Consider the following 11361-nt stretch of genomic DNA (forward strand, 5'->3'; position numbering starts at 1 on the left):
AGTGAGACACCGTCTCAAAAAAAAAAAAAAAAGTACAGCTGACCTTCCTGAGTCTCGGATTATGTATCTGTGAATTCATTTTCTCACCAAAATTTGTTTGTGACCCTAGAATCAACACTCCATAGCACTGTCATGGTCATTCGCTGACATGCTTAGGGCAGCGAAAAATCTGAGCTGCCATTCAGGTTCCCAGCTGAGGCTGAACAAGGTGATGTTCTGCCTTTTTGTTTCAGCTCTCATGCTGTTAACAAGAGTCCTTTTCCTAGTCTATTTAATGCCACGTTTTCCCCATTTTTGTGCTTTTTGCTGGTGACTTTGCTGTTTAAAGGGTTCCCCAAGCATAGTGCCGAAGTGCTGTTAGCTTCCCAAGCGCAGGAAGCTGTGTCTTATGGAGAAAATATGCATGTTAGATAAGCTCCATTCAGGCATGAGTCATAGTGCTGTTGGCTGAGTTCAGTGTCAGTGAACCAACTACGCACGCGTGCACACACACACACACACGTGTGTGTGTGAGAGAGAGAGGGTCTCACTCTGTCACCCAGGCTGGAGTGCAGTGGCACCATCATACTTCACTGCAGTCTCAACCTCCCAGGCTCGAACGATTCTCCCACCTCAGCCTCCTGGGTAGCTAGGATTACAAGCACATGCCACCATGCACGGCTAATTTTTTATTTTTTATAGAGATGGGATCTCACTATATTGCCAGGCTGGTCTCAGACTCCTGGGCTCAAGCAATCCTCTTGCCTCAGCCTCCCAAAGTGCTGGGATTATAGGTGTGAGTTACCACATCTAGCCAACAATATATACCACATAAGGTGTCTTTAAATAGAAACATACATAAATTAAGGTTACATATTGATTGATGAAAATGTGACCAGAGGCTTGCAGGAACCCAGTGCTGTATTTCCCCTAGGAGCAATGGTTCAGCATTCATGAATCCAGTGTTTGTGGTGACTTTACTGTGAATAAAAGAATCAACTGCATTTCAACATGGACTAGAAGGAAACACATCCAAGTCACAATGGTAGTTGGCTTTGAGGACAAGGTGTGGAGAAGGAAACCAAAGGTATTTGTCAATAGAGACATTTAAGACTGAAAACAAACATTACAAAATGTTAACTATTACTGAGTGGTGCTAATATGGGTATTTGTTTTAATTTGTAATTATTTTAATTTCCTAAAGTAACAATCCTTAGAAGGACACAAGAGTTAGGAGAGAACGGAATAAGAGGATGGAGGCCACCATTCAAAGTGTGTTTCCACACACTTCAGTACCCATATACTAAGAGCCGAGTGTGAAATCAGCTGTGGGGTAAGAATTACTTAACCAAAAAAACTGTAATTTGGTAAACTGAAGCCTGCTACATGGCCACAGCTGGTCTTAATATGCAACAGGGCTGTCCTGTCGGCATTAACTATGGCACAGAGCTAGCATTATAAAGCTTTCATTAGTTTGAAAGAAATTTTGTGGATTTACATAGTTGAAAGATGCTGTTGCTTGAAATACTGGGGCATGACAATTTATTTCCCTCTAGCATCTGATACCATTTCACAGCCAAGTTATAAAGCCACTCACAGTTCTGTGTCAATTAGAAATCTCACCACCTGTAACTTAAAAATCTTTCCAACAGTTGTAATGGAATATTTAGATACTCTGCCCTAAGATAAAGCAAGCAGGTATCAGGAAACTATACGTTCTTTCCTAATTATTTCAGTAATTAAAATAGTTAAGCATAATCTCCAAATACCTCAGTCTCCCCATGCAAAATGAAAAGAATACTATTTGCCACATGACTGAAAAGGATGAAGTGACTTGAAATCCCTAGGAAAAAAAGTATTTGTGCATGCAAAGTATTGTTTTAAGTAAACTAAATAAAGGGACACTTGAAGATACTATCTATAAGTTAATGGGAAGGCAAATTGCCAAGGCAATCCTAAGCAAAAAGAACCAAGGTGGAGGCATCACGTTACCCGACTTTGCACTATGCGAGGCTACAGTAACCAAAACAGCATGGCACTGGTACAACAAAGGGCACATAGACTAATGGAACAGAATAGAGAGCTAAGAAATAAGGCTGCACATCTACAACTATCTGATCTTTGACAAAGCTGACAAAAACAAGCAAGGGGGGAAAGACTCCCTATTCAATAAATGGTGCTGGGATAACCAGGCAGCCATATGCAGAAGATTGAAACTGGACCCCTTCCTTATGCCATACATAAAAATCTACTCAAGATGGATTGAAGACTGAGATGTAAAACCCAAAACTATAAAATGCTGGAAGATAACCTAAGCAATACCATCCCATACATAGGCGTGGGCACAGATTTCATGACAAAGACACCAAAAACAACGGCAACAAAAGCAAAAATTGACAAATGGGATCTAATTAAACTTAAGAGCTGCTGTACAGCAAAAGAAACTATCAACAGAGTCAACAGACAAGCTACCATTGAATGGGAGAAAATATTTGCAAACTGTGCATCTGACAAAGCATCTGTAAGGAACTTAAATTTATAAGAGAAAAACAAACAACCCCATTAAAAAGTGGGCAAAGGACATGCACAGACACTTTTCAAAAGAATTACACAAATGTTTCAATTAACTAGAAAAAGAGGAGGAGAAGGGTTACCATAATTCCATTACCTGAATCCTCTGATTGGTTATGGCTTAAGCAGAAATGCCTTGTGTCTGAAACTTCTTAATCAAACAATTTGTTGCCCTGTGTAAATACTACTACCACTGCTACATCTCATATTTACTGAACATCTGTGGTGTATCTGGCGTTGTTGAATGCTACTTACCCATTTATGCCTCACAATAGCACTATGCAATCAGGATTCTTAGGCTGCTCATTTTAACTGATGAGGAAGCTGAGGTAGAAATTAGGTAAAAAGAATGAATGCAACCCTCTAATGACTAAGTGCCTTCATCACTTCCTTACCATCATTCCCAACTTTCATGATGCTATACTTTCTGAGGATGGTGACAATATTGATACTAGGCCATGGTCTGGAATTGGGAATAAACTTCTAGCACTAATATGCTTCATCACCATTTACCTTCCAGTCTTATAAGAACAGGAGGGAGTGCTTAAACACAAATAACAGGCAATTCAGTTCTCTCTTTTAATGGTTTCATATATGTTGCTGTAGTTTTGGTGACAATCAGGTGTGTGACAATTTAGTGAAGGTGTTCTGATCACATGCTAATTATTTATTACCTGGTAGCCCTGCAAAATCCCCTGCATTATGGAAGCAGTAATCCCATTGGTTGACCTGAAGGTCCCACAACATTACAGACTGGCCAGTGGCTCTTTCACTGAATACTCCTAACTCATACCAAGTTTATTCTTTTTTCCTTAGGAATGTTATCTTTTCATAAGCTGTGTAGTGACAAAAATCAAAAATTACTTCCAGCTCAAGATAATTCCTTCATATTTTTGACCATGAGAGCCAAAGGGCTTGACTTTTCATCAGTTTCCTTTAAACAGGCAATGCCTGCTGAGACCCGATCACCTGCACCTTGATGTCACTGGTGTCCAACAGCACTTTCATGCTGTGGCTGACCATCTGCTTTTAGAGCCATTTCATTGTTTCTTTGCACATAACATCACACATCCTTTTCTTAAAGTCCATACTCACCTATGAAAACGGAAATAAAAAACATTAAAAAGGACAGAAAGACATCAAGCTTATGTTTCATTTCCATAAATGGGAACTGCATTGTGTCATTATGAAAGTGTATAAAATATTTGGAAACTCCAACAAATTATCTCTATTAGTGGGTTTATTGACATAACTGGACATAACAATGTATAACATTTATTCATCTCCCACTGAAAGACTTCCCAGTGAAACTAAAGTAGAACACAGATCCAGGCATTAGGCATTTTCAGTGATGTTCTATGGCTGAAAAGGTGGGTGGTGAGGAGAACCAGAGGCCTTGTCCATACTTGCAATGGGACTCAATATTACCCTGCTGGGCAAAAGAAATAGCTAGGAGATGCAATAGTGCTATGATTGAAAAAAGCCAGGAGCACAAAAGGTGCCAGATAGCTCCCTGGTTGAAAATAAGAGCAAACAACACTACTGCTCTCATGTACCAGTATGCTCTCAATCTAAAATAAGCCCTGGCAGCAAACTAAGAATGACAGTCTATTTCCTGTGGTTTATTAAGTTTTGGCCCCGCAGACGAGACTGCCAGAAAAGCAGCTGTAGTTTTAAGTGGTCTGGACATTTACTCATTTGAACATAAACAACGATCAGCTCATTCAGATGGCTGGTTCCCTACTCAGCTGTTGAGAAGAGGGCAGGCATGGGTCAATCTAGGCCAAACATAAAAGGAGTGAACTGGGGTGAAAGACCCGGGGCTGTGATGGATTCCCTGAGTCACCAGGACCCTCAGGGGCTTAAGGCCCTAAACAGAAGATTCCACTGTCAGCCTTAGCACCATTGCAGTGACCTCCATGGTACTCCACTGCCAATAAATCCATAACCACTGTGACCATAACCACAGTGTACATTCTCTTAGTGACTGCATTTTTAGACCACACATAAAATTATTAATGTAAACCAAACCACTACACTTAGTGATAAACATGTACTTCATAAATAGCAGGGAATGAAAGTATCCCAAATAGTTGGAAACAACTGAACAAATAAAGGATCCTACCCCTAAGTTTAAAACAAAAACATTTAAAAGAAATACTGCAACTATTAACTAAAAGATAAGATTTAATAACACAGTAAGACACTCAGTTGGGGAGGGATTAATTGCAAAATATATCATTATTTCACAGTGAGGTTTAAGTACTCATAACAATCTTCTGGTTTTAGTAGAACAGATACCCACTGGTGTATTTTTTTCACATTTGTTTTCTATAATTTCTTCCCCTCTACTATTTCATATAAAGACACTAATGTGGTCAAACATTAAACTATCAATTGACAATCACCTTTTGCTTCCCTATTAGGAAATAACCTTCATTGCTTAACTGCAACTCAAGAGAATTAGGGCACAGTCAACCATGTCACTGATAAAAACATAAGAAGTAATGCATCACATTTATTCCAATCTAAACACACTGTCACAGATGTGGTAAGTGAACTGGAACACTGGTGTTCCCCAGTGGGTCATCAGCTACATATACATCACATTCTTTTATCAAATCTGGCATTGAAATTTCCTTTTCCATATATAGGTTTAAAAAAATAAAATTAAAAAAGCCACAGGAGCAACCCTGACAGAGAAGTCTTGCATGCAGCCTTCTCCTGAGAAAGTATGTAATCTTAGTTATCCTCGAAGTCAGCAAGCGCTCTTGTACTGTTAATATTAAAAGGAACATAATAAAATGGCCCAGTCCAACTAAAACAGTCCTTGAGTCTATTGGTCAGTTCGTTAAATGTCAGAGCTTTTCACATTTTTGAAAAAAAAAAATGCGTCTCTTATTAAACTTTAAGGTATCCTGAATGCTCTATCAGCCAACATAAACGAGTTCCTTGGCGGGTATGTTAAACTTTACCACCTGTTTACATCCCCCTTCTTGGCAGAGATCACCAAACCAGTGGAGTCCCTGGCCAAGCCTCCTTTGTAATGGTAATAAGTTCCTTCCTTAAATAGAAACAAAACTTCTCTGTTTGACACTGAGCAAACAAAAAGCATGCACCCAAATATTTCTGGCCATGTTGGGGGCACAAGCACCCCCTTTCTACCCCCAAAGCCTGGCTTCTGCATTGCAGTGCTACAAAAGCCATTCGCATAGCTGTGTCAAAGCCTCCAAGCGAAGCCTCCGACCTCAGCATCCCACCATCCATTTGTCCCCTACTCTGGCTCTGACCACCAAGTACCATCCATTTACTTCTCGAGTATTGGGAATTGGGGGATGGTGCCCGAATTGGCCCTCTGTCCCCACCGGCCTCTCTGGCAAGTGCACAAAACGGCACTTCCCCTGAGGTGGGCTGGTGGGCCTCACGGAGAGGCGGCTCCTTAGGGCCAATGAGATGGTCTCTATATGCCCTGGACCTAGTCGGCAAATCGCTGCAGGAGACGGTCCTCCCGTCTCAGGCTGCCGCCCGCGCCGCCGCCCGCACTGTCCATGAAGCGGTCGCAGGGGAATTCGATGAGGTCCGCCTCACTGAGCGCGCACACGGTGGTGCGTGGCCGGTGCGACTGGAATCCCGAGAAGTCGGCGGACACGCCGGTGCCCATGGAGCGCAGGGGCCGTCGGGTGGAGTACATGTGCCGAACGTGGACCGGGGCCCCGCCCTTCCGCCTAGCCCGCAGTTTCCTACGCAGCCAGCGAGACGCCCAGGCCGCCAAGGCCAGGAGCACCAGCAGCGCGTTGACCGTCAGCAGGGCCAAGGTCAGCAGCTGGTAGTCGACGCCGCCCCGGCTCCCGGCCTCCGGTAGGGTGACCAGCCCCGCGCAGTGGTCCCGGGGAGCCACAGGGCAGACACGGCCCCCAAGCACGCCCTCCACGCACACCAGGTAGGGGGTGTCCCCGCGCAGCTCGCGCAGCGTGGCCGAGTCGCTGCTCTCAGGCAGGTAGACGAAGCGGTGGAACTTGGGCTGCTGGCCAAAGCGGTCAAAGAGCAGGCGGAAGCGCGCGCCGCCCAGCGGCCGGGGACTGCGGTGCTCGCGCACGGCCCAGCGCACCGAGGCGCTGTCTGCGCCCACCGCCTCCACCGTCAGGTTGCACAGAATGAACTTGTTGAAGTCGCATGGGTCGGACACCAGCGGCGGCAGCCCGGCCCCACCGTCGGACTGGGCGGCACGCTCCTGGTGCTCCGTGCCCAGACGATGCTTCGTCGCGCGCTGCCAGGGGTCGCCGGCGGGCGATGGCGCAGAGCCAGGAGAGGCCGTTGGGGTGGGCTCCGCGAGGGCGGGATCTGCCCGAGTCGGACGGCCCCGCTGGGGCTTCTTGTGCAGGTCTAGGGACTGTGGAGCCGGGCCCGCGGCGGCAGCGACGGAGGGGCTGGGCTGCTGGAGGCCCGGGCCCCGCCGACTCAGCCTTAGGGCGCTGCGGTTGCCTACCAGCTCCCTGGCGGCCCCATCCCAGGCCACCCCAGCTAGAAATCGCCCCTGCTGCTGGAGCTGCGGCTGCGGCGGCAGCTCCTCCGCGAGACCTGCAGGTGGCGTCATCTCCTCCCCTGCGGCCGTGGGTAGGGGCTGCCGCCTGCGGTCAGCGGTCAGGGAAGCTGAGGGCGAGGGATCCGCGCAGGATCCATTTTGCAGCTGCTGGTCATCCAGGTAATCCAGGTATTTGCCTCGCAGGGCCGGGGGGTGGCGACACTGCACGAAGACAGTGAGGAGCCGGCCCTGCGAGTGCCAGTCGCCCATCCAGCGCTTCAGGCCTCGCAGCCGGCAGTCGCAGGTCCAGCCGTTGCCGTCTAGATCCAGCCGATAAAGGGCTGGGCTGGCGGCGAAGATGTCCCCGGATAGGGCGCTGAGCGCGTTGTTGCGCAGGCTGAGCTCGCGCAGCCGGCCCAGGTGGCCGAAGGTGGCCGGGTGCAGGGCGGACAGCTCATTGCCGCTCAGGTCCAGCGCCTCCAGGCTGTGCAGAGGCTCCAGCAGCGCAGTTGGCAGCTGGCTCAGCCGATTACCCTCCAGGCGCAGCTCGCGCAGGGCCTCCAAGCCCCAAAAGGCCTCAGGCGCGAGGTGCGTGAGCTGGTTGCCCCTGAGCGAGAGCAGGCCGAGACGTGGCAGGTGCTGGAAGATGCGCGGCCCGAGGTGCTGCAGGTTGTTGGCCGAGAGGATGAGGGAGGAGAGGGAGCGCAGCGGTGCGAAGGTGGCCGCGTGGCGCAGGGAGGGCTGTAGCTCGTTGGCAGAGAGGTTGAGGAAGCGCAGCTTGCCTAGCTGGGCGAAGGCGTTCTTGCCCAGAAAGCGGATCCGGTTGGACTCCAGATGTAGGTAGAGCAGGTTGCCCAAGGGAGCGAAGACCGCGTCCGGCAGCGCCCCCAGGGCGTTCCCGTCCAGCCGCAGCTTGACTAGACTCTCCAGGCCCTCGAAGGAGCCGCGGCTTAGGCGGCTGATCTCGTTCCCGTTGGCGTAGAGGATGCGCAGCTTGCGCAGCGGGGCCAGCGTGCCCGGGGCGAGCGCCTGCAAGAGGTTGTTCCCCAGGTACAGCTCTTCCAGCCGCGAGAGCTTCTCGAAGGTCTTGGGGTGCAGAGAGCGGATCTGGTTGTACTGCAGGTCCAGCCGTCTGAGCTGCCCCAGACGGTGGAAGTCGAAGGCCGTGATGTTGGTTATGAAGTTGCCGCCGAGGCTGTAGGTGAGCACGTCGTGGGGGCTCGGCAGCGAGCTGGTCTTGGGCACTACGCGGAGCCCCCTGTTGGTGCACAGGAGATGCTGGGGATGCTGGCAGTCGCAGCGCTCCGGGCACACGGGCTCGGCCAGCGGCGGGAGCGCGAGGCAGCCGCACACCACGAGCAGGAGGCGCAAGGCGCGGGCAGCCTCCATCGCCTCCCGCCCTGCGTGCAGCGGCCGGATCGTCCTCTTGGCCCGCCGGCTCTGTGTCTCCTCTGCATTCCCCTTAGCCTGGCCAGAGTCGCTAAATGGCCTCTTTCGGACTTCGCAGCGCCGTCCAGCCCCTCCTCCGTCCTTTGTCCGGAGGCCGGCCCGGGTCTCTGCAGGCGGGCTTCGCCCGGCCAAGTCAGGCGGCGCGGGGCGCTCTGCAGACCCCGGGTACTACTTGTTGCATTTCTGTATAAAACTGTTTCTCCGGGTGCGCGTCGGCGGGCGGGAGGAGGGAGCAAGACCCGGCGCTTTTTGTTTGCAGCTGAGTCCGGAGAGCTGGATTCCCTGGCGCGGATTCTCCCAGCCGAGTGGATTCCCCAGCTGCAGGCGGGAGCCGTTCCAAGAGCTTCGCGGGGCGCGGCTTGGCAGCAGAGCCCCGGCTGCTCGGCCCCCGCAGACGGCACCTTCTCGCTCGCGGTCCCGGACGGGGAGGGCGGCTCCAGTGCAATAGCTCGGGGAGCACGCGGGCTGCGTCCGGAAGGGACCCAAGTCTGCGAGCGGAGAGCAAACGGGGCGGAAATTCGTTCTTCCCACACTCTGCCCGCGGGGACGCAGGCGGAGAAAGAGGAGACGGCAGAGGGAGGACAGACCCCGGCAGGGGGAGGAGGAAACACTAAGTGGCTCCGCGTCTGGTCAGCCCGGGCCCGGGATGCCAAGTGAGAAAAGTAGGGATTAAAAACAGCTGTACGGGCCGGACACGCTAGGCCGGGGGCGGGGGAGGATTACCGGGCTAGCAAACGGGATTTGCAGACAGAGACCTTTTTATTTTAGACGAGTACACCAGCCGCTTCTGAGCAGTGGGAGCGCGCCTGGCCTTCCTCGTTGTTAAGTCACTTGCTCTTCCAGGTGCCACCCTGCGGGAAGTTTGGGCAGCACGGAGTCCGCCAGCATTCTACAGGAAGTTTGGGGGAGCACAAGGTTGCCTGCAGAAGGCCATCAGAAGGGGGTAGGTGAACCCAGTCTGACAGTTGCTGCTTGGGTTTTGACGTCGTTGGACTAGTAGCTGAGGAGAGGCACCACCCCCTTTTAGGTGTCTGAAGGGAGTATTTACTCCATCCTGCTGTGGGCTAGAACATGAAGAAATCACAGAACTGGTTCTGCCAACATGAAAGTGTCTCTGCCACATTTTGGTGATTCAGTCGCATTAACTCTCCTACAGTAATAGAGCCCCTGGGGTAGGCTCTGCTCGTGTGCACATACATAATAACCTTCACAGATCCTAAGGTAAACGTTCCTTGCAGGGCCCTCCTGCTTTACGCCTGGACTTGCAGTGATCTTCAAAGTCTTTAGGCCCAAAAATGTTCAGGCCTGGCTCAGTTGGGGAAGCATTATTATTTATTATCTCTAGGGAATGGAGCATTTAATCAACGGCTCCTTTGGGATCAGCCCCTGCTGAGAATGAGAATACACAAGGAGGAGTTGTTAATTATTAATTATTGTTTCTTTATATAAACCATCTTGCTAAAAAATAAGGGCCCTTCCCCTATCCAAGGTGTTGAGAAAACGTAAGTTTTGAGGACGTACTCTGCAACAATGTGGAAAATTAAAGGAAAGATACAGATCCTCACCTGAAGACAATGACAATCTAGTGGGAAGGGCAATGAATGCATTGAAAGGTTAGATAATAATATAAGGCAGTAATAGAGAACACCACAAAAACAAAAATTATTTTTTTTGAGGTGGGATCTCACTCTGTTGCCCAGGCTGGAGTGCAGTGGCATAATCTCCGTTCAATGCAGCCATGACCTCCAGGGCTCAAGTGATCTGCCCACCTCAGCTTCCCTAATAGCTGGGACTAACAGGCCCTTGTCACAATGACCAGCTAATTTTTGTATTTTTTATAAAGGGGGAGTTTTGCCATGTTGCCAGGCTGGCATCGAACTCCTGGTCTCAAGCGATCCTCCCACCTTGGCCTCCCAAAGTGCTAGGATTACAGGTATGAGCCACACCACACAGGGTGACAAATGATTTTTAATAATTCTATGTTTCACAGTAATTGCCCCATTTAGCAATTAATATAGTCAAGTGATAGAGGGAAGTTCTGAATTTAGAGAAAGATGAGATCGTTGGCAGGGTAGTCAGTGGTGACTTCGTGGGTGAGCAGGGACCTTGGCTTTGCAGGGAGGTGAGTCAATGATAATTCCAGGAGATGAGCGCTGAGGGGTGGAGCTGTGATAGTCCTGAGGAGCAGCACCTGGCCTGAGAGTGTGAGGAAGGCGTCTAGAAGAGGGGAAACCTGTGCTGAGTTTGAGGGGTGAGTGGTATTACCTAGAGGAAGGTGAGCAGACGCTCAAGGAGGAGAAGCCTGGGGACACATGCAAGGAGGGATTTAGAAACCTCCACATCTTCTGTCTGCATATTTAGGGTGAGCTTTATTAACTTATTCTTTAACAGTATCATACACCCTAGCTTATACAGTGACTTGAAATAAATATTCCTTTATTCCCCTTTAAGGATTTCAGCAGGTAGCTGATGTAATCATATTTGCACTACAACCTCAAGAGGAATCTCTGCCTAAATAAACAAAGTAGGTGCTATACAAAAAAAATGTTGTCTTCCTAGTTCTTGCCTTCTAGGTCCTTGAAATCTGTGACAGCAATAGGTGTGAGATGTGTGGATAGAGCATCCAGACTGAGGCATTCAGCTATACCACGCACATAGGCATCTTGTAGATACTGTGAATGCATCTCCTCAACCAGGCCAATGTGGGCGCTGTCTGTGGACCTTGTGCTTTACAGGGCTGTGTTCCAGTCCTCCTCTGGTTGTGCACCTTCCAATAAGAGCAGGATTTCAGGCCTCAAAGGAGATGTGCACACCCATACCCCGCTTCCTACTCAGAGTTC

At 49.6% G+C, this 11361-nt stretch overlaps 1 protein-coding gene across 1 annotated transcript, besides 1 other annotated feature; it reads right to left on the reverse strand.

The window, feature by feature from the left end:
• Nucleotides 207-502: an enhancer, noted in NCBI's record as "tiled region #6215; HepG2 Activating non-DNase unmatched - State 4:PromP, and K562 Activating DNase unmatched - State 9:DNaseU". NCBI's record gives its function as "activates a minimal TATA promoter and a strong SV40 promoter by Sharpr-MPRA in HepG2 and K562 cells {active_cell/tissue: HepG2 | K562}" and the evidence as "EXISTENCE:reporter gene assay evidence [ECO:0000049][PMID:27701403]".
• TRIL (TLR4 interactor with leucine rich repeats) lies at nucleotides 3773-8745 on the reverse strand. The gene has a single exon (NM_014817.4). The coding sequence runs from the start codon at nucleotides 8459-8461 to the stop codon at nucleotides 6026-6028; it is 2436 nt and encodes an 811-aa protein (NP_055632.2). The 5' UTR covers nucleotides 8462-8745; the 3' UTR covers nucleotides 3773-6025.
• Between the last annotated feature and the right edge of the window lie 2616 nt (nucleotides 8746-11361).

This window comes from Homo sapiens, chromosome 7 (genome assembly GCF_000001405.40).
Source record: "Homo sapiens chromosome 7, GRCh38.p14 Primary Assembly".
NCBI classification, from domain to species: Eukaryota; Metazoa; Chordata; class Mammalia; order Primates; family Hominidae; genus Homo; species Homo sapiens.

What these genes read in the sequence shown, in the direction of transcription:
- TRIL (NM_014817.4), bottom strand. Translation starts at nt 8,461, where the DNA reads ATGGAGGCTGCCCGCGCCTTGCGCCTCCTGCTCGTGGTGTGCGGCTGC.